Raw genomic sequence first — 21,420 nt, 5'->3', positions numbered from 1 at the left:
TTAGCTCATCTGTCCATCATGTTCCTGGTACGTTTTCTAGATAAACGGCTGACTTTTCACCCACAAAAGCCATAATAGCTGATGCTTCTGTGTAGAACCAAGTTTCATTTTGACTCAAGAGCTGGTACATTGCACCCCTTCATCAAATCTCTGTGTCCACAATCTCATAAACTATCAAATTCTGGGTATTTAATGAGAGAAAGCTTAATATTGAAGTATCTCTCCTATGAGGTGTTAGAACTATTTGCCTACAATTTATTGGGGAAAAAATTGCTCATTTGTGTACATAAACCTAGGACAGAGCACATAGGGAAGATAACATTCCAAAACAGGGGAATTTTGCCCAAGGCTCATGAAAGAACCCAAGCCAGTTTTCTCAAGACTTGACCTCAGGCCTACTGGAATATTTCTCTCAAAGTCTCCTGTTCTCACACTGACAAGACTGATGTCCCTGTGTTAGGATTGGACAGAGGAATGTTTCTGTGTGCAAGGAAGAACTGCTTAATGTAAGAGGGCCCATCTGAATTTATTTGCAGGACATCGGTGGGATCAAGTGAAAAAGGAGGACCAAGAGGCAACAGGTCCCAGGTGAGTCTGAGAAATTGTGGACAGTTAATTTGATGTTGACACCTGGAGATGCCAAGTCCAGGGAAAACAGTACATGCTGAAAATAATGATTTTGTCTTGTCAGACAAGTCTGAATTATGCCTACTACATTGCTTTTTGGTTCTCATTAGAGTAAATGTTTAGGTTTCCATTTCTTCCTACACTTATCATTTACTAACCTAGTGAAGGTTGACCATACCTCAAAAGCTGTATTCTCATGGTAACTGCAGGGAAACTTGAGCACATTTTATGCAAAATTATTGAGGACATGCTTTTCATGATCACTGTTCACTGTGTGTCCTGAGAGCACAAATACAGAGTGTCCTTTGATTCCCTCATCAGTGTGTCACCTGACCAATTCACTGAGCTCGCTCTGTGTGTGTGTGTGTGTGTGTGTGTGTGTGTGTGTCTTTCTCTTTCATCCTTTTCTACCTGGCCCTAGTCTATCCCAACATAAAGGCAATAATTTGTTACCTCATTAATGGATCTGTCCTTTTTCTTTTCAAACTCTTCCTTATGTTAGCCATGAAATCTAGCTGGGACTGTGTGGTTTCTGATTCCCCCTGGCTTATTCTTTACTTTTTCCCACTTTTCCAGGCTCAGCAGGGAGCTGCTGGATGAGAAAGAGCCTGAAGTCTTGCAGGACTCACTGGATAGATGTTATTCAACTCCTTCAGGTTGTCTTGAACTGACTGACTCATGCCAGCCCTACAGAAGTGCCTTTTACGTATTGGAGCAACAGCGTGTTGGCTTGGCTATTGACATGGATGGTGAGTACCTTTCTATGAAGGTGATAAGGATCCACTGAGTCTTCTGGTTAGGGTCATATTCCTACTGCAAGTGGCCCTTACTGAGCTGAGAGATGTCATTGCCACAGGGAGGACCTATAGGCACATGTAGGTTGAATGAAACTCTAGTTCCACTTGGAAGCCCAGACAAGGGATGGATCAGTGAGCAAGGCTCTCTTCCTAGTCTCAGGCCATGCCTGTGGCGCCCTAATCCTACTCTCATGACGTTGGACCTGGGCAGATGTGACAAATTCACACAACTCTGATTTTGTCTCAATTTTGTAGATCTTGTAGATTTCATCCTTCACTCTAATTTCAGCGTCTAAAATCCTTGCTACCATGAACAATCTGAGTATTTGATGAGACAGGGCTGAATAGTGCAGTTTTTCTCCTAGCAACCATTTGGGGGCATTTGCTTTAAATCGATTGGAAAAATATGGCATAACCATTTGCACAAACTTGGGACAAATGATATTGGGATAACGATCTACCAGAATAGGGAATTTTACCCACAGTTTCTGGGACAAAAACCAAGGAATCTCTATGGTGATCAGCCTTCAGGCCTCTTGAAGAATATCTCTCACAGTGTCCTATTCTCATGCTGAGGAGCCTGAAGTCCCTGTGTGAGGATTAGACAGTGGATTGTTATGTGTGTAGGAGAACCAGCTTAATATGTCTGTCCATGTCTGAACTTATTGCAGAAATTGAAAAGTACCAAGAAGTGGAAGAAGACCAAGACCCATCATGCCCCAGGTAACTTTGAGCAATTATGGATGCTTAATTGTGTGTTGACACCTGGAGATGCCAGGTCCAGGGAAAACAAGAGTGTGTTCAATTTCATGTTTTCAACGAAGGTTGAATTACTCCTCCTGACATTGCTGTTGGTTTTCATTGCAGTAGATGTTTAGGTTTCCATTTCTTCCTCCCCTTATCATTTACTAACTTACTATAGGTTGACCATACCTCAAAGGCTGTATGGCAACTGCATGGAATCTTGAGCAAGTTTATGGAAAATTATTGAGCCCACTCTTTTCATGACCACTGTTCGTTGTGTGTCCCGAGCGCACTAACTCAGAGTGTCCTTTGACCCCTTCATCAGTGTGTCACCCGGCCAATTCGCTGAGCTCACTTTCTCCTCTCTCTCTCTCTCCCTCTCCCTGTCTTTCTCTTTCATTCTTTTCTACCTGGCCCTGGTCTATCCCAACATAAAGGCAATAATTCATTACCTCATTAATGGATCCGTCCTTTTTCTTTTTAAACAGTTCCTTATGTTAGCCATGAAATCTAGCTGGGGCTGTGTGGTTTCTGATTCTCCCTGGCTTATTCTTTACTTTTTCCTACTTTTCCAGGCTCAGCAGGGAGCTGCTGGATGAGAAAGAGCCTGAAGTCTTGCAGGACTCACTGGATAGATGTTATTCGACTCCTTCAGATTATCTTGAACTGCCTGACTTAGGCCAGCCCTACAGCAGTGCTGTTTACTCATTGGAGGAACAGTACCTTGGCTTGGCTCTTGACGTGGACAGTGAGTACCTTACTGTGAAGGTGATAAGCCTCCACCTGGTCTTCCAGATAGGGGTGATATTCCTGTTCCAAGTGGCCCTTACTGACCCGAGAGATGTCATTGCCGCAGGCAGGACCTATGGGCGCATAAAGGTTGTAATGAAACTGTAGTCTCAGTTGGAAGCCTAGACATGAAATGGGTCAGTGAGCAAGGCTCTATTCCTAGTCTCCAGCCATGCCTGTGGCAAGCTGAGCCCGCTCTCAGCACATTGGACCCAGGCAGATGTAAAAAATTCACAGAAGTATGATTTGGACTGAAGGGTTTGTAGATTTCCTCCTTCATTCTAATTTCAGTGTCTAAAATTCTTGCATCCATGAACGAGCTGGGCATTTGATGAGACAGGGCTGAATACTGCAGTTTTCCTCCTAGAAATCATCTGGGGCATTTTCTTTGAACTGATGGGAACAATAAGGCATAACTGTTTGCACAAACTTGGGATAAATGATTTTGGGATAACGATCTACCAGAATGGGGATATTTCACCCTTGGTTCTGAGATGCAAACCAAAGAATATCATGACCAGCTTTCAGGCCTCCTGAAGTATCTCTCTCACATTGTCCTGTTCTCATGCTGAGAAGCCTGAGATCCCTGTGTGGGGATTAGACAGTGGACTGTTATGGGTGTAGGTGAATTGGCTTATTTTGTCTGTCCCTGTCTGAATGTATTGCAGGAATTAAAAAGGACCAAGAAGAGGAAGAAGACCAAGGCCCACCATGCCCCAGGTAACTGAGCAATTGTGAACAGCTACTTCTGTGTTGACATCTGGAGACTCCTGGTTCAGGGAAAACAGAGCGGGCTGACATTATCGATTACATCTTTTCCAGCAAGCCTGAATTATTCCTACTAACATTGCTGTTGGTTTTCATTGCAGTAGATATTTAGGTTTCCATTTCTTCCTCCCCTTATCATTTACTAACCTACTGTAGGTGGACCAGACTTCAAAAACTGTATTCTCATGGCGACTGCATGGAAACTTGAGCACATTTTATGGAAAATTATTGAGCACAGTCTTTTCATGATCACTGTATGCTGTGTGTCCTGAGGGCACTAACTCAGAGTGTCCTGTTACTCCCTCATCAGTGTGTCACCTGGACAATTCACTGAGCTCGTTCTCTCTCTCTGTGTGTGTGTGTCTGTGTGTGTGTGTGTGTGTGTGTGTGTGTGTGTGTGTGTGTGTGTCTATCTGTCTTTCTCTTTCATTCTTTTCCATTTGGCCCTGTTCTGTCCCAACATGAAGGCAATAATTTGTTACCTCATTAATGGATCTATCCTTTTAGTTTTTTAACCACTTCCCTATGCTACCCATGAAACCTAGTTGGGGCTCTGTTGTGTCTGATTTCCCCTGGCTTATTCTTTACTTTTTCCTCCTTTTCCAGGCTCAGCAGGGAGCTGCTGGAGGTAGTAGAGCCTGAAGTCTTGCAGGACTCACTGGATAGATGTTATTCAACTCCTTCCAGTTGTCTTGAACAGCCTGACTCCTGCCAGCCCTATGGAAGTTCCTTTTATGCATTGGAGGAAAAACATGTTGGCTTTTCTCTTGACGTGGGAGGTGAGTACCTTTCTATGAAGGTGATAAGGATCCACTGAGTCTTCCATATAAAGATCATATTCCTGCTCCAATTGGCCATTACTGAGCTGAGAGATGTCATTGCCGCAGTGAGGACCTATAGGCACATGTAGGTTGAATGAAACTCTAGTTCTACCTGGAAGCCCAGACAAGGGATGGGTCAGTGAGCAAGACTCTCTTCCTAGTCTCAGGCCATGCCTGTGGCACTCTGATTCTACTCTCATGACATTGGACCTGGGCAGATGTGACAAATTCAGAGAACTATGATTTTGACTCAAGGGTTTGTAGATTTCCTTTTTCACTCTAATTTCAGTGTCTAAAGTCCTCACAACCATGAACAATCTGAGTATTTGATGAGACAGGGCTAAATATTGCAGTTTTTCTCCTAGAAATCATTTGAGGGTATTTGCTTTAAATTGATTGGAAAAATATGGCATAACTGTTTGCACAAACTTGGGACAAATGTTATTGGGATAACGATCTACTAGAATAGGGACACTTTACCCACAGTTTCTGGGAGAAAAACTGAGGAATTTATATCATGACCAGCCTTCAGACCTCCTGAAATATATCTCTCATGGTGTCGTATTCTTATGCTGAGGAGCCTGAGGTCCCTGTGTGAGGATTAGACAGTGGATTGTTATATGTGTAGGGGAATCAGCTTAATGTGTCTGTCCATGTCTGAATTTATTGCAGAAATTGAAAAGAAGGGGAAGGGGAAGAAAAGAAGGGGAAGAAGATCAAAGAAGAAAAGAAGAAGGGGAAGAAAAGAAGGGGAAGATGACAACCCACCATGCCCCAGGTAACTTTCAGCAATTGTGGATGCTTAATTCTGTGTTAACACCTGGAGGCAACAGATTCAGGGAAACCAGAGTGTGTTTGATGTCATGTTTTCAACGAAGGCTGAATTACTCCTACTGTCATTGCTGTTGGTTTTCATTGCAGTAGATGTTTAGGTTTCCATTTCTTCCTCCCCTTATCATTTACTAACGTACCATAGGTTGACCATACTTCAAAAGCTGTACTCTGATGGCCACTGCATCAAATTTTGAGCATATTTTATGGAAAACTATTGAGCTCACTCTTTTTGTGATCACAGTTTGCTGTGTGTCATGAGGGCACTAACTCAGAGTGTCCTTTTACTCCCTTACCAGTATGTCACCTGGGCAATTCACTAGCTCACTTTCTCTCTGTCTCTGTCTCTGTCTCTCTCTCTCTGTCTTTCTCTTTCATTGTTTTCTACCTGGCCCTGTTCTATCCCAACATAAAGGCAATAAATTTTTTTTTTTTACCTCATTAATGAATCTATCCTTTTTCTTTTCTAACCACTTCCTTATATTACTTCTGAAATCTAGTGGGGCTCTGTGGTGTCTGATTTTCCCTGGCTGCTTCTTTAGTTTTGTCTCCTTTTCCAGGCTCTACGGCGTGCTGATGGAAGTGGAAGAGCCTGAAGTCTTACAGGACTCACTGGATAGATGTTATTCGACTCCGTCAATGTACTTTGAACAACCTGACTCATTCCAGCACTACAGAAGTGTGTTTTACTCATTTGAGGAAGAGCATATCAGCTTCGCCCTTTACGTGGACAATAGGTTTTTTACTTTGACGGTGACAAGTCTCCACCTGGTGTTCCAGATGGGAGTCATATTCCCACAATAAGCAGCTCTTACTAAGCCGAGAGATGTCATTCCTGCAGGCAGGACCTATAGGCACGAGAAGATTTGAATGAAAGTACAGTTCCATTTGGAAGCCCAGACATAGGATGGGTCAGTGAGCATGGCTCTATTCCTATTCTCAAACCATGCCATTGGCAACCTGTGCTCAATCTGAAGACAATGGACCCATGTTAGGTGTGACACGTTCACATAACTGTGCAGAACATGCCGGGAGTGATCAGTCAGACATTTTAATTTGAACCACGTATCTCTGGGTAGCTACAAAATTCCTCAGGGATTTCATTTTGCAGGCATGTCTCTGAGCTTCTATACCTGCTCAAGGTCATTGTCATCTTTGTGTTTAGCTCATCCAAAGGTGTTACCCTGGTTTCAATGAACCTAACCTCATTCTTTGTGTCTTCAGTGTTGGCTTGTTTTAGCTGATCCATCTGTAACACAGGAGGGATCCTTGGCTGAGGATTGTATTTCAGAACCACCAACTGCTCTTGACAATTGTTAACCCGCTAGGCTCCTTTGGTTAGAGAAGCCACAGTCCTTCAGCCTCCAATTGGTGTCAGTACTTAGGAAGACCACAGCTAGATGGACAAACAGCATTGGGAGGCCTTAGCCCTGCTCCTCTCAATTCCATCCTGTAGAGAACAGGAGTCAGGAGCCGCTGGCAGGAGACAGCATGTCACCCAGGACTCTGCCGGTGCAGAATATGAACAATGCCATGTTCTTGCAGAAAACACTTAGCCTGAGTTTCATAGGAGGTAATCACCAGACAACTGCAGAATGTAGAACACTGAGCAGGACAACTGACCTGTCTCCTTCACATAGTCCATATCACCACAAATCACACAACAAAAAGGAGAAGAGATATTTTGGGTTCAAAAAAAGTAAAAAGATAATGTAGCTGCATTTCTTTAGTTATTTTGAACCCCAAATATTTCCTCATCTTTTTGTTGTTGTCATGGATGGTGGTGACATGGACTTGTTTATAGAGGACAGGTCAGCTGTCTGGCTCAATGATCTACATTCTGAAGTTGTCTGAAAATGTCTTCATGATTAAATTCAGCCTAAACATTTTGCCGGGAACACTGCAGAGACAATGCTGTGAGTTTCCAACCTCAGCCCATCTGCGGGCAGAGAAGGTCTAGTTTGTCCATCACCATTATGATATCAGGACTGGTTACTTGGTTAAGGAGGGGTCTAGGAGATCTGTCCCTTTTAGAGACACCTTACTTATAATGAAGTACTTGGGAAAGCGGTTTTCAAGAGTATAAATATCCTGTATTCTAATGATCATCCTCTAAACATTTTATCATTTATTAATCCTCCCTGCCTGTGTCTATTATTATATTCATATCTCTACACTGCAAATTTTGGGTCTCAATTTTTACTGTGCCTTTGTTTTTACTAGTGTCTGCTGTTGCAAAAAGAAGAAAACATTCTCTGCCTGAGTTTTAATTTTTGTCCAAAGTTAATTTTAATCTATACAATTAAAACCTTTTGCCTATCACTCTGGACTTCTGGATTGTTTTTTACATTCAGTGTTATAATATTTGATTATGCTGATTGGTTTTGGTGGGTACTGATGCGAATTAATAAAAACATTTCATTTCCATGTTTATTTTCTAATCTCTTCCACATTGTAGGCTATGTTTACCATACGTAGCAGAATGTATTTACATTTCTTGGTTCTAGTCATTTGTATTCTTCGTGAGTGTGAGTGTGTGTGTGTCTGTGTGTCTGCGTGTGTGTCTGTGTGTGCCTTTGGCATTTAGGAAGGGTTGTATAGCTCATGTTAAATATTGCACTAAAAATGTTTTTGATGGTTTTCCTCCCTTTGAACTAGACACACTTCTAATATTTGGTTTATAGTTTTAAATTATAACTTTCAGCATCAAATATTTCCATACAACAGTCAATTACATGATGTGTTTTCTTTTTCCTACCTCCTTTACCTGCCCCTTCTCATAATAGTATTTGAACCTAAACATATACCGTTGACATTCTGTGATTATCATCTTGCCCCTACCTTGGTTTTGGTTTTTGGTGCAGTTCCAGGCTCTTGGTGTCTTTGTTTGGGACACCAAGAGCCTGGTACTGCACGGCACCAGCTGGTAAGAATTAGGCTTTTTTGGCCGGGCGCGGTGGCTTATGCCTGTAATCCCAGCACTTTGCGAGGCCAAGGCGGGCGGATCACGAGGTCAGGAAATCGAGACCATCCTGGCTAACACGGTAAAACCCCATCTCTACTAAAAATAAAAAAAATTAGCCGGGCGTGGTGGCGGGCGCCTGTAGTCCCAGCTACTCGGGAGGCTGAGGCAGGAGAATGGCCTGAACCCGGGAGGCGGAGCTTGCAGTGAGCCGAGATCGCGCCACTGCACTCCAGCCTGGGGGACAGAGAGAGACTCCGTCTCAAAAAAAAAAAAAAAAGGCTTTTTTTTTCCCTAAGGGTTAACAACAAACCAGCCCTTTGGAAAGACTTGCTTCACCACTGTTACCAACCAACGGCCTGATGCTTTCCCTCAGTTTTGTGATTTTGACAAAACAAGCAAGCAGCATTCCCTCCTGATAAGAGACCACCGACCTAGGAATGATTCTGGCCAGACTAGAGAGGATGCACAGTGAGGGTTTTCATGTCCTCTGCTTCAGCTTTTGATGTCAGAGGGCCACAAACTCCACTCTCAGATGATTGCTAATGCCACCATTTTATGAACATGGACCCCATGGAGAGGCACGAAGCTCAATTGCACTTCTGCACATTTTTCCTCCTATAAATATTGCTATTGGAATATTATTTGGTACGGCTCCCGTGAAAGATACATTTGCAGAATGTACTCAAATTAGAAGCATCATGTAAAGCCTATAATGTAGCGATAGTGCATCAACTTCCCTACACTATAGAAATATCTGCGGTGTAGACATTTCCACAATGACCAGATATGTGTACAACAAAGGTGGCTGCAGCATTCTTTGTAATCCTAAAACAATGAAACCTACCTCATCTCAAAAACTTTATTTTTTTATTTTTATTTTTTTTTTGAGATGGAGTCTCGCTCTGTTGCCCAGGCGGGAGTGTAGTGGTGCAGCCTCCACTGGTGCAGCCTCCACTGCAGCCTCCACCTCCCAGGTTCAAATGATTCTCCTGCCTCAGAATCCCAAGTACCTGGGATTACAGGCACATGCCACCATGCCTGGCTAACAAAAACATTTTGAAAAGGGTTAAATAAATCATGCACAAACTGAGGAAAAATACTCTTCAAAAATGATGGAGAGGATCACTATGATGATGAATGATTCCACTGGTCACATTATTGATAGAGCAATCAGTAAATCCAGGCACATCCTCGGGATATTACTGACCTCCTATTATTAACATATGAAAAAATGGAGGCATGTAAATTACTCGTTTAAGCGTATAACGGACTGAATTAGAATTTTATCACACCAGAAGTGGGTTCCTAGGTCTCTGTTTCAGGATTCCTGAGTTACACACATATAAACCCAGGATTTCAGGAGATACCCGGTTAAGAATCCGGTCGGGGAGGTGGTCTGGCCCTTGACATGGATAAGTCACAAATTAGTGGCTTAGGACTCCAGGAAGATAAAATCTTCCCCATTTATCTAGTGATTGACAATGCATGAATACTTTAAAAGCTCAAACAAGCGTCCCTGGGTGGGCTCGAACCACCAACCTTTCGGTTAACAGCCGAATGCGCTAACCGATTGCGCCACAGAGACAGGTACTGTCAGTTCTACTGGGCGCTATAGGAAGGGCGCACGCACGAAACTTCCTCCGTCCCTTGCAACCTCAGGGCCCGCCCGGCAGGACGACTGAGCAAGGCCTTGGAAAACCGGAGAGATTGGAGCGGTAAGTCGCGCTGGTCACGTTGGACACCTGCGCGTTGGGAGATTCTGGAGCCAGAAGGATAGCCGAATGGCCTTCGCCCGCCCTGCCCCTCGCCTGCTTCAGAAACCCCCCGGAAACGTCCCGGTTGAGACCCCGGCCCGAGCCGCCTGGGGGCCCTAGGGAGGCTGAACGCCCGGTGGCTCCCGGGATGGCTCTTCCCGTTCTTCGCGCCGCCTTCACCCAGTGAGGGAGCCTGTGCCCTCCCTGCCCAGTCGCTTTTGGGGCCGCTGCGGAGCTTCCGCTGCCATCTTCGGATCCTGTGTTCCGCACGGGGGCTCCACCAGGGCAGGGATCGTGGTGAGGGTGGCTCGTGGGTCCCCCTCGCGGGGAGCAGGGTCTGGCACTCACCAGGGCGCAGGACTAGGACTTGTCGAATGAATCCATCCTTTTAGCTTTTAGTCCTTTGAAGAGCCTTGAGAATGGAAATCATGAGAGATTTTTCCATGGGGAAGTTCCTTTTACAAAGCATTTATTTACGTGGACTTCTTGGCACCCCGCGGGGCGGCAACGGGCAGGGCCTCCAGTGCCCCTTCTGCGCCGTGGAGCCGCGGGGGCTCAGCTGGGCGGTGGTCGGGTCCTGAGGCCGGAGGGCGGGAGCAGGGGAGGGGAAAAGCAAAAGCGGGGAAAGAAGCCGGGGAGCGGTGGACCAGACGTCCAGACCTCCTGAAAGGCTGGCGGGGAGGCACAGGCGGGATCTTCCGGAGGTGAGAATTTTTTTTTATTATAGCAGAATGGGGAGGAATTGAGGGGAAAATGGAGATAGAACCTGAAAGAGCCCCAAACGCCAGAACCTGTAGCTCCCCAAGAATAAGATCTTCCAGAAGAACTAGACCCAAAACTAGCCGTTGGGGAACACCGAAATCCTTGGAGGAGCAACATCCGCATGACCCTCTGTGTTCCTTTAGGCAAAAGGACTTGCTTCCATTGTTTGTTCAATTGTTTGTGTTTGTTAAATAAATAAAACGATTTTCATGTATCTTTGAAATTACTTTGGCGCTACTATTTTATGATTGCAAATAATTCGGCAGTGATCATTCTTGTACACTTCTCATTGGCCATTTGTGTATTTCTATAGGGTAGAGGCCTGGAGAGCAGTTGCTCCAGCATAGGGATTACACAGTTTTTGTTTGTTTGTTTGTTTGTTTATTTATTTATTTATTTATTTTTGAGACAGAGTCTCGCTCTGTCACCCAGGCTGGAGTGCAGTGGCGCCATCTCAGCTCTCACTGCAACCTCCGCCTCCCGGGTTCAAGCGAATCTCCTGCTTCAGCCTCCCAAGTAGCTGAGATTACAGGTCCGCGCGAGCCACCACATCGGGCTAATTTTTGTATTTTTAGTAGAGACGGGGTTTCATCGTTTTGGCCAGGCCGGTCTCAAACTCCTGACCTCAAGTGATCTGCCTGCCTTGGCCTCTCAAAGTGCTGGGATTACAGGCATGAGCCACCGCACCCAGCGATTACATGTTTTTTTTTTATATATCATTCTATTTTCTTTCCTTATTTGGCTTATTAGCTGTAACTCTTTCTTTTGTTATGTCAGTGATGGCTTTAGGGTCCCTAGAATACATCTTTATCCGTCTGCCATCAAGTGACATTATACCTCCCCTTCTGGCCTTTATGTTAGTGTTGTCAGGGAATTTGATTTTGGACATGTTATAAACCCCAACATCCAAGTACGTACATAGCGATTTTCAGTCGTCTCCATTTCTTTGTGTAGGTTCAGATTTCTGTTTGGTATCCTTATCCTTAGGCCTGGAGGACTCCTTTAATATTTCTTGTAGTGTGGTTCGGTGAATTCTGTCATTTTTTTGTATGTCTTTAAATGTCCTGATTTCAGTCACATTTTTGAAAGATATTTCAATTTGGCATAGAATTCTAGAATAACTTTTTTTCTCTCAGTACTTTAGGATGTTGCCACTTTGACGCTTTGTCATTGACATATCTTTCCTGTTTTTGTAAACTTGGCATAAAGTGGGTTTCCTGTACTTGTTATATGATTTTTGGATTGTGTATTCAAATTAAAAGTATTAAATTAAAATTAAAATGGCCTGGGCGAGGTGGCTCACACCTGTAATCCCAGCACTTTGGGAAGGGGAGGCAGAGGATCGCTTGAGACCCAGAGTTGGAGACCACCCTGGGCAAGATAGCAAGACCCTGTGTGTGTGTGTGTGTGTGTGTGTGTGTATATACACATAAATATGTATATATATTATATGTATGTATGTATATATAAGTCCTACAGTCACCTTAAGTTCCACCAACAGTGCACTTAAAGTAAAATGTGCCCAACCTGAGGCTCAAACCTACCTGCTGGCACGCAATTTGTGTTTGTGAGACAATCTCAACAGCATTTGCTTTTTCTAGCATAGTGGTTTTCCTGTTTTCCTCACATGTGAATGTCTTCAGTGCAAAACCTGTCAGAATTCATTTCCTTTGCTAAAATGTTTTAAAATAACTCTTACTTCAAGTAAGTGCATTAAAAACAAACTTCTCAGTTGCATCCCTGGAATCCATGGAAAGTCCAGGAGAGACAATCAAGTGCTACAGGATCAAGCCCAAACAGAACAGGACTAGGCATGGCTTCCTCACTAGGAGTCAGGCCAAAGTCATCTCCTTTGGTCTCCAATGGAGGCCAGAACTCGGTTCACCTGCAACGGGAGGACCTGGCCCAGAAGAGGTGGCCTTCATCTTCATGGTGCCTTCAGATAGGAAATCTAGGATTTCTTTTCTTCTCTTTGATCTACTTCCAACTCTCCCTTTCTATTTATTTATTTATTTATTTATTTATTTATTTATTTATTTATTTATTTGAGACAGAGTCTTGCTGTGTTGCCCAGGCTAGAGTGCAACGGGGCAGTCTCAGCTCACTGCAACCTCCGCCTCCTGGGTTCTAGAGATTCTCCTGCCTCAGCCTCCTGAGTAGCTGGGATTACAGGCGCCTGTCACCGCGCCCGGCTACTTGTTGTATTTTTAGTAGAGACAGGGTTTCACCATCTTGGACAGGCTGGTCTCGAACTCGTGACCTCGTGATCCACCCACCTCGGCCTCCCAAAGTGCTGGGATTACAGGCGTGAGCCACCGCATCTGGCCCTCCCTTTCTATTTCTTCAAGACCTTTTTCGGATCCCTCCTGCGCAGGACCTAAACGGGCGGTGCCCTTACCCACTGGTCCCTCCCTGCCTGGTGTCTTCGGAGCCCTAGCTCACCCGGAACGTTACTGCCCGCCGGTGACAGCGAGAGGACCAAAGAGGACCAAAGAGGGCAGCGGGTGTGGTGGGAACCACAGAGTCACCGCGCACCTGCGCCTCGCGGGCTCCTCGCAAATTGAATAAACGCCCCCTGAAGCTTCTCTTCAAGTCACAGGGAAGGGGAAGGTGGCTGCCGACCCGGCGGGAGAAGCCGGCCCTGCCCCTGGTCCTTGAAGACAGGTTTGGCCAGGCTGATTTTGACTGGTAGGCCCAAAGAAAAGCCTCAAGGGCAGACCAAACTCCGACAGGCTCCGAGATTAAGGCTTTCAAACGTCTGATCGTTTTCAGCTTGGTCAGTAAAATCGATCCCGCCTTTATCAGGAGATTCCTTTGCCAAAGTTCAGAGAACTGGGGTTCCCGCTGCTTGCCACACAGAAAACCGATCACTGAGACGGTTATTGCCAAGGAAGAGGCTTTAATAGGGTGCTGCAGCGGAGGAGATGAGAACTCAGTCTCAAATCCATCTCCCTGACCAACCAAAATTAGAGGCTTAGATGGCAGGGAAAGAATGTGACAATGTGTAAGAAAACAGGAACTAGACCAGGCGCGGTGGCTCACGCCTGTAATCCCAGCACTTTGGGAGGCCGAGGCGGGCGGATCACGAGGTCAGGAGATCGAGACCATCCTGGCTAACACGGTGAAACCCCGTCTCTACTAGAAATACGAAAAGAAATTAGCCGGGCGTGGTGGCGGGCGCCTGTAGTCCCAGCTACTCGGGAGGATGAGGCAGGAGAATGGCGTGAACCCGGGAGGCGGAGCTTGCAGTGAGCCAAGATAGCGCCACTGCACTCCAGCCTGGGAGGCAGAGGGAGACTCTGTCTCAAAAAGAAAAAAAAAAAAAGAAAGAAAAGAAAGAAAACAGGAACTAGGGAGGGGCAAGGAAGCAATCAGGATGAATGAGGGGTCCGGCGTCTCATTGTCTGGGTGACTTTCAGTTCTTTGATATCTTTTTTGAGAGGCCTGAAGGAAGGAACTCAAATAAAACAAATATCGAGTTTCAAACTTTCAGATCAGAAGGGTCCATTTCTATGTTTATCCAAAAATCTACGTATGGGACTATTGGGTGGGTTTCAGACCAAGAAAGAGTGTGCATATCAAAGTCTGCGGTTAACCAAAGAGAAAACATAATTTTCCGACCAATAGGATGTATGGGGGTCAAAGAACGACCAGCCTACAGTACTGTTTATTGGCCTGAGCATACGGAAGGATGAAGTTGCACCAGCGAAATGGGATTAAGCTGCAGGTGCGGGCTGGGCGCGGTAGCTCACACCTGTAATCCCAGCACTCTGGGAGGCTGAGGTGGGTGGATCACTTGAGATCAGGAGTTTGAGACCAGCCTGACCAACATGGTGAAACCTCGTCTCTAATAAAAATACAAAAATTAGCCGGGCGTCATGGCGGGCACCTGCAGTCCCAGCTACTAGGGAGGCCGAGGCAGGAGAATTGCTTGAACCCGGGAGATGGAGGTTTTAATGAGCCGAAATTGCGCCACTGCCCTCCAGCCCGGGCAACAGACCGAGACACCTTCTCAAGCAAAAATAAAAACAAAAAGCTGCAGGTGGAAAAAAAAAAGTCTGGATTTTGGTTCAGAGTCCCTGGGGCCTTCCTCAGTAGTTTTCTCTTTCCTTAAAAAAGGAAGCTTGTCTCAGTCTCTGCATCTCTCTGAGTCCTTTTGGAGATTGAGGATGGTGAGGTCTCAGTGCTTGGCCCCCTTCTAACTCTGGGTACCTCCCCTCCCGTGGGTCAACCTGGTCCAGTGCACAGGCCCCAGCTCCGACGACCATCTCCCCCCTACCCTTTGCTCCCAGCAAAGGCCATTTCTAGGTCAGTCGTGAGGTACAGCCAGGACAGGGCAGCTCGCTCCGAGATTTTTGGCTCTCGAAGGCCTTGAGCGCTGTGGTTCTGCAGAACGCTGTCTGTCTCTTGTGGAGGAACTGACACCCGCTGGAGAAAGTGTGGAGGGAAGCGAGGGCTGCACCTGCACGCAGGAGCTGAGGCAAGCGGCGGTTCCCAGCTCTCAGTGCAAAAGACATTTGTCATCTGAGAGGCTGGACTCAGTTATTATAATTTTCAATTTTGTCAATAAAAACCGAATGGAAATTTGTTTTCTTACTTGTAGAAACCTCCTCACAAGACCTCCCATCTTACATTCCAGGGAGACTTAGCAGGGTATTCCGCCAAGACATAGGTTAGACTGCGGTTCTGATCTGCAGGCCTCGATGCCCTGCGCCGGGGCACCAGGGCACGGGCAAAGCCCTCCCCCTACACAAAGCAAGGGTGTTATGCCTACAACCGAACGGGGACACTAAGAGCCCCCAACATGCACGGTTTTCATTCCAAAGAAAACCACCAGTTCTGAGTACAACTTCCACCTGGCTCTATTAACTGAGTACACGTTTCCCCAGCACAGAAATCCTACAAACTCCCGTGAATGCTGTGGTGAAAAGCAGGAGCTGCCAGGGCAAGATGGATCGCACCTGCAATCCCAGCACTTCAGAAGGCTGGGCGGACCACTTGAGCCCAGGAGGTGGAGCCCAGCCTGAGCAGAATGGTGAAACTGCTACGAAAAAAGAAAAAGAAAGGAAAGAGAAAGAAAAGAAAATAAAAAAAAAAAGAGAAAAAACTAGCCGGGTGTGGTGGCGTGCGGTTGTCCTACTCGGGAGCCTGAGATGGGAAGATCGCGCCAGTTCTCCAGCCTGGACGGTACAGCGAGACTTGTCTTAGGGAGGGGGGGAAAAAACAACAAAAAAAACAGAGGCTAAGAGGTAACTCCGAGGATGACAGAAAACACCAGAGTTTTTAAGAGATGTTAGAAGCCCTGGGAGCACTGAACAAACCAGAAAGCTCCCGACCCTTGATCCCTGAGCTCCACCTAGCAAGTACCGCGGCAGCTAACCTGGGAGAACACCCCAACCAACAGAGACTGAAATTCGCCTCCCAAGAGAGTAAGTGGATAGTTCTAAGCTGTCCCCAAACATGGCCTCACAAAGGAAAACTAACCGTTGCGAACGGAAACAACTGACCGGACAGAACACAGCCACAAAACACGAGCCCGCACCCTGAGTTACAAAAACACTTACGGCTCACCTACTATTCGCACCACAGAAGCACCAGGGGAAAGCGCGAACGCAGTCCCCTACTATCACAAGTTATGCAGTCGAGTTCCTCACATTGGGGGAAAATGGCAGGGGTCAGTACACCCGGAACATAACGGATAAGCCTCGCCCTGAGAAAACCACCTTCGTGATCATGGTATCTCCCCCGCCAAGTAAGTATGAGCTTTTGCACCTCCGCCCCGCCACAGCCTCACACGCTTCACCCTTTACACGCACGGTCACTTGCCCCGCGCACGCCCCCCCCCCCCACCCCCCCCGCCCCCAGCCCTCCTAGCCCTGACACATAGCTGGGACTCTCAGGTCCGACCAGCGGTCCTGAACCCGCTCCCACGGCACGGGAACTCCTTAGTGGCGAAGCAGCAGCCCCTGCGCTGCCTCATCTACATAGAAATCGCCCTATCCGTGATGTCACCGACAGCGCCTTTCCCAGACACCGTCTGCTCTTCCGCCCCACCCTCCGCCGACTCAGCCGATCAACCCGCTGCCGGAGCTGGCGGAGGAAGTGACGTCTGTCTCTTTCTCCTTTTCCTCCTGCCATTGTCCTTTGGGGAGGTGCGCAGAGATCCCACGTCTGGTCTCCCCCTAAGACTGTGGTACTTGATCTGTGTCCTGCAGAGAACCCTTCTGGCGGCCAACAGGAAGCTTGTGCACCCTTCTTCAGATAATGTCTTTTAATGCGCAGACTTGAACGTTTAGGATTACAAGGAAAACCGGTTCCTTTCAAACCTGTTTATCTTTGTGATGTAGCATTCCGTTTCAAGTTGAAAGCCATTCAATGTCAGAGAGAAAACATATCTATGAAACCAGAGAGGCTGCTCAGATGGGTTGCAAACTAGCCATCCTTACTGGTTTTACCACTAGAAGTGTTACAAAGACAGTTGTCCAATTTTATGAATCTTGAAGGGTTTTTTGTTGTTGTTGTTATTTCAAATACAGTGTAATACAAAAATATGTGGCCCCCGCAGAGACGATTGGACACTCTCAGGCATGGTGATGGAGTTTGTCATCTCTTCCACGGCCATCTCAGAACCTTAGTGCTTACCTCATGTTAGTATTTTATATTCTCCAAAGACACAAAAATAATCCCAATTTGACAAAACAAACAAAAAAACATCTAGGGCATGTCTTATTTGAGGCGCTTAACAAATGACTGGATCATCTCCCTTGTATATAACCCAGAAAACACTGTGAAGTAGAGCAAAATTGGAAAGCCCAAGTCAAAGACCATTTGCAAATTTCAAGTAGATTCCAGTCTGTTGCTCAAATCACAAAACATGAAATGGAGGGGTCTCCCTTGGAGACCATAAAGTCTGTGACATGGTGGCCAGTTGGGTCACTGGAAAACATGGCAAAATATTGAAAATGAGGGATTAGGTGAGAGTGTAGCAACTGAACACTAAATGCTTGATCCAGGTGCCATTCCTGGATACTGACAGGGAGACACATTGTCCAGGTAATACTGGAAAAATACTTTCTATAGTGTAAACCACAAATAAAATTCCAAGCCCCTCAACTATTTGAATGCACCCCTCCTCTCAGCCAGGGTCATTCCAAAGTTAACCTGAAAAACTGGTTCAGACCATGATGGGAAGTAGGGGTCAGATATGCCTCATTATACCCTCCTTCCTTTGGAATTCAGGCACAACTGACCAGCACATCCGACCAGGCCCAACTGACATTACAACAGCGATCTCAAGACTTTTTGTAGCAATAAGACACCAAACTCCAGGCTGACTCTAGTGTAGCATTACATGACAGATAGCAGGCCCTGAAAGAAATGAAAATATTTTACCCTAAAATACATTTTTTATCATATTTTGAAATGTCCCTACAAAGTTGTCTCTTGTGGGGAAAGTCTACATGCTATAGGGAATCCCTTTCCAGGCCTTTTCCCTAATCTAGGCACCTTTTTAAGTCTGATAAGAAACATTTACAATCAATTCTCTCTGAAGCCTGCTACCTGGAGGCTTCATCTGCATAATAAGAACAACCCCTTAACACAGAGACTGCCTTCTATGGATTCCAGGTCTTTAGATAAACTCTTTCAACCAATTGCCAGTCAAAGTATCAGAAAATAACGGCTGGTAACTATGTAATTATGCATATATATGAGTAGAATTTTGGGGGTGGACACAGTGGCTCATGCCTGTAATCCCAGCACTCCCTCAGGAGGCTGGCAGATTGCCTGAGTCCAGGAGTTTGAGACCAGCCTGGGAAACATGGTGAAACCCCATCTCTACAAAAAAAAAAAAAAAAAAAAAAAATTAGCCAGGCATGGTGGTGAGCACCTGTGGTCCCAGCTACTCAGGAGGCTGAGGTGGGAGGGTTACTTGAGCCTGGGAGGTGAAGGTTGCAGTGACCCAAGCTTGCAACACTGCACTTCAGCCTGGATGACAGAGGAATGGACCTTCACTAGACACTGAACCTGCTGGCAACTTGATCTTGGACTGACCATCCTCCATAACTGTGAGCAATAAATTTTTGTTGTTTATAAGTTACTCACTCTGTGGTATTTTGTTATAGCAGCACAACTGGATTAGGACATCAACCTGACCTTAAGAAATCATCTCATTCAGTCTTGGCTCTGGTGGGAAACAAGGGGCACACTCGGATGTGTGATTTAAAGAGAGTTGTGTTTTTTTTTTTTTTTTTTTTTTGAGACGGAGTCTCGCTCTGCCGCCCAGGATGGAGTGCAGTGGTGCCATCTCGGCTCACTGCAAGCTCCGCCTCCCGGGTTCACGCCATTCTCCTGCCTCAGCCTCCCGAGTAGCTGGGACTACAGGCGCCCGCTACCACACCCGGCTAATTTTTTGTATTTTTAGTAGAGAGCGGGTTTCACCACGTTGGCCAGGATGGTCTCGATCTCTTGACCTCCCAAAGTGCTGGGATTACAGGCGTGAGCCACCGCGCCCGGCCTAAAGAGAGTTTTATGAAGAGAATATTTATAAATATAATATGGACAGGATCAAAACAACCCAACCAAGGACTGAGAGGCGCTCAGAATCTGGAATCAGCAGAGAAGTTGTATTGCCTCTAGGACTGGATTGTTGTATAAGTCTGTTCAGGTTGCCATAACAACCTGGACAGGACCGTAGTTCTGTCCAGTGATCCTCCCCAAGACAACCGTTCTCTCTAGTAACTATGGTTTTCCTTTCTCATTTCAATTGCCACCTCAATTGACTGAAATGTGAACACCAACTCCCGCACTTAAACGTTGAAGCCCTAACACCTACTGTGATGATTTATGCAGCTGGGGCCTTTGAGAGGTAATCAGGATTAAAAGAGGTTATGAGAGTGGTGTCCTCATGCTGAGATTAATGCCATTACAAGAAGACAGACACTAGAAAGCTTGCTTGTCCGCCTTCCCCCTGGTGCACGAAGAAATGGTCACATGGGCACACAGTGAATCTACAGCCACTTACAGGCCATAGGAAGAGACCTTAGAAAGAAATCCGCTTTGCTACCACCTTTATCTTGGACTTCCCAACTTCCAGAAGTGTGAGAAATACATTTCTATAGTTTAAGCCACTTGGTGTATGGTATCTTGTTATGGCAACCTGAACAGACTTATACAACAATTAAGTTGCCTTTCCACTGATGGACTTAGACACAATCTCTTTCCCAAAAAAGAGCTATATTTAGCTACTTTTCTTTTGCATATTGTTCCATTTGCAGCCACACTATTTGTCTTCCCCCACACCACTTCTATCACCAGGAATCCATTTTCCTTGTTTTCTTTTTAATATCGGGAGCCTCTGCTCACTGCACTGCATAGTCCTTGGGGCTTTTTTTAAACTTTATTTTTAACAATCATTTGAGCAGAAAGTAGCCAATTCAGTTCTTTAATTTCCCATTTTATTCTTGGTTTGAAACTGACCTGATTGTGTCCCTTTTGTTATGACCAGTTACTTAGAAGCCATACAGCCCACAAGGTGCCCTTGGGTATAAATCCAACTTCTTCATTTTAATGGTGAGAAACCAAAAGCCCACGTTTCCTGATTTCTGGCCCAGCACTGGAACTGTTTTCATGGCACGTCAATTCATCATACATTTTAATAGTGATATTTTATATTTGCATAATTTTATTGCCTTTGCAATGGGCTTTCACATCTATCTTCTCATGTGTATATAGTTTAGAGGCCATTTTTACCCACTATTTCCTAATCATATCGACCACAGCCTCAGGAAATGTCTGCTCTATTATTTCACTTGCCTGTCTGGGTTCTTGGGCAACAGCATAGAATCCTGCACTGTGTTTTCCCTCACGCTTTCTCACTCTTTGCAGAACAAATTTTTGTTACATGCCTTATTATCATGGTAATATTGGCCTTCAGTCCTGTATAGAAGCATTAAAAATGTGCGTAATGTATATCCTTTTAAAATGTTATCCTAAGAAGCATCTTTTGGAGTTAAGGAGAGTTAGATGAATAAAGAAAGAATACAGTTTCTCCTAAACAAACCCACTAAGAAAATCATGGAAAGAATTATGACAACTATGAAAATGAAGGAGGTATACTTTGTCAACAAAAGCAAAATAACCAAGCTACTCTTAGACATAATCTCACGTTGTCTTTCTGTAGTGCTCTAGCATTTTCTAAGCATTTTCACACACTGTTATCTCTTTTTTTCTTTCTCCTTCTAGAAATTAATTATGACTTTTCCTTTCAAAAATGAAGGACTTTTTTTTTTTTTTACTCTTTTCATTTTTTCCTGAGACCATATGTCAAAGGGAATGTGAGTAACAACTTTGGTGTGGTAATAGCCAAATTCCTCCAGGTCTGCTCCTCAAGCTTGCAAAGTCAAGACTGGCAGAAGTGGTGATTTTTACCTGGGTATCCTGAGAACCTTGCACAGTCCTTATCACATGCAGGTGTTCAGAGTGTGCAAATAAACGAAGAAATGTGAGATTGTGATGATATTTTCATGGCATGCTTTTTTTCCACACTTCCTCATGCAGCCCAA

The 21,420-nt window shown here is 45.3% G+C and overlaps 1 protein-coding gene and 2 non-coding genes across 57 annotated transcripts in view, besides 8 other annotated features; 1 reads left to right on the top strand and 2 right to left on the bottom strand.

Moving 5' to 3' along the window:
- Positions 1 to 7,804, top strand: part of NBPF15 (NBPF member 15) — a 40,280-nt gene extending 32,476 nt beyond the window's left edge. For 52 of the 55 annotated variants that reach the window (NM_001385416.1, NM_001385377.1, NM_001385443.1 and 49 more), the window contains 8 exons: positions 537 to 588; positions 1,204 to 1,376; positions 2,096 to 2,147; positions 2,744 to 2,916; positions 3,626 to 3,677; positions 4,332 to 4,504; positions 5,219 to 5,324; positions 5,938 to 7,804. In NM_001385416.1, the coding sequence (NP_001372345.1) occupies positions 537 to 588; positions 1,204 to 1,376; positions 2,096 to 2,147; positions 2,744 to 2,916; positions 3,626 to 3,677; positions 4,332 to 4,504; positions 5,219 to 5,324; positions 5,938 to 6,181 (1,025 nt within the window). In that variant the 3' untranslated portion in view covers positions 6,182 to 7,804. The remainder of the gene's footprint in view (positions 1 to 536; positions 589 to 1,203; positions 1,377 to 2,095; positions 2,148 to 2,743; positions 2,917 to 3,625; positions 3,678 to 4,331; positions 4,505 to 5,218; positions 5,325 to 5,937) is intronic. The other 3 variants (NM_001385447.1, NM_001385446.1, XM_047418308.1) reach the window with 2 other exon arrangements.
- Positions 9,819 to 9,878: a silencer, noted in NCBI's record as "silent region_1257". NCBI's record gives its function as "represses an Ori minimal core promoter by ATAC-STARR-seq in GM12878 lymphoblastoid cells {active_cell/tissue: GM12878}" and the evidence as "EXISTENCE:reporter gene assay evidence [ECO:0000049][PMID:35858748]".
- On the bottom strand, positions 9,854 to 9,927 carry TRN-GTT3-1 (tRNA-Asn (anticodon GTT) 3-1). The gene has a single exon. It is a non-coding gene; the product is annotated as a tRNA-Asn (tRNA).
- Positions 10,187 to 10,688: an enhancer, noted in NCBI's record as "H3K27ac hESC enhancer chr1:148760689-148761190 (GRCh37/hg19 assembly coordinates)". NCBI's record gives its function as "activates a minimal SCP1, AML or CMV promoter by ChIP-STARR-seq in naive H9 embryonic stem cells {active_cell/tissue: H9 hESC(naive)}" and the evidence as "EXISTENCE:reporter gene assay evidence [ECO:0000049][PMID:30033119]".
- Positions 14,767 to 15,456: an enhancer, noted in NCBI's record as "H3K4me1 hESC enhancer chr1:148603221-148603910 (GRCh37/hg19 assembly coordinates)". NCBI's record gives its function as "activates a minimal SCP1, AML or CMV promoter by ChIP-STARR-seq in naive H9 embryonic stem cells {active_cell/tissue: H9 hESC(naive)}" and the evidence as "EXISTENCE:reporter gene assay evidence [ECO:0000049][PMID:30033119]".
- Positions 15,457 to 16,144: an enhancer, noted in NCBI's record as "NANOG-H3K27ac-H3K4me1 hESC enhancer chr1:148603911-148604598 (GRCh37/hg19 assembly coordinates)". NCBI's record gives its function as "activates a minimal SCP1, AML or CMV promoter by ChIP-STARR-seq in naive H9 embryonic stem cells {active_cell/tissue: H9 hESC(naive)}" and the evidence as "EXISTENCE:reporter gene assay evidence [ECO:0000049][PMID:30033119]".
- Positions 15,457 to 16,719: a biological region, named in NCBI's record as "hESC enhancers GRCh37_chr1:148603911-148604598 and GRCh37_chr1:148766495-148767201".
- Positions 16,011 to 16,719: an enhancer, noted in NCBI's record as "NANOG-H3K27ac hESC enhancer chr1:148766495-148767201 (GRCh37/hg19 assembly coordinates)". NCBI's record gives its function as "activates a minimal SCP1, AML or CMV promoter by ChIP-STARR-seq in primed H9 embryonic stem cells {active_cell/tissue: H9 hESC(primed)}" and the evidence as "EXISTENCE:reporter gene assay evidence [ECO:0000049][PMID:30033119]".
- Positions 16,225 to 16,519: a silencer, noted in NCBI's record as "tiled region #7263; K562 Repressive non-DNase unmatched - State 24:Quies". NCBI's record gives its function as "represses a minimal TATA promoter and a strong SV40 promoter by Sharpr-MPRA in K562 cells {active_cell/tissue: K562}" and the evidence as "EXISTENCE:reporter gene assay evidence [ECO:0000049][PMID:27701403]".
- Positions 16,344 to 16,693: a silencer, noted in NCBI's record as "silent region_1256". NCBI's record gives its function as "represses an Ori minimal core promoter by ATAC-STARR-seq in GM12878 lymphoblastoid cells {active_cell/tissue: GM12878}" and the evidence as "EXISTENCE:reporter gene assay evidence [ECO:0000049][PMID:35858748]".
- On the bottom strand, positions 16,454 to 16,618 carry RNVU1-15 (RNA, variant U1 small nuclear 15). Its single transcript, NR_104076.1, has one exon. It is a non-coding gene; the product is annotated as an RNA, variant U1 small nuclear 15 (small nuclear RNA).

The sequence above is a fragment of the Homo sapiens genome, chromosome 1, assembly GCF_000001405.40.
Source record: "Homo sapiens chromosome 1, GRCh38.p14 Primary Assembly".
NCBI lineage: Eukaryota > Metazoa > Chordata > Mammalia > Primates > Hominidae > Homo > Homo sapiens.
The sequence above is the reverse complement of the archived record's forward strand: the minus strand, read 5'-3'. Positions and strand labels throughout refer to the sequence as shown.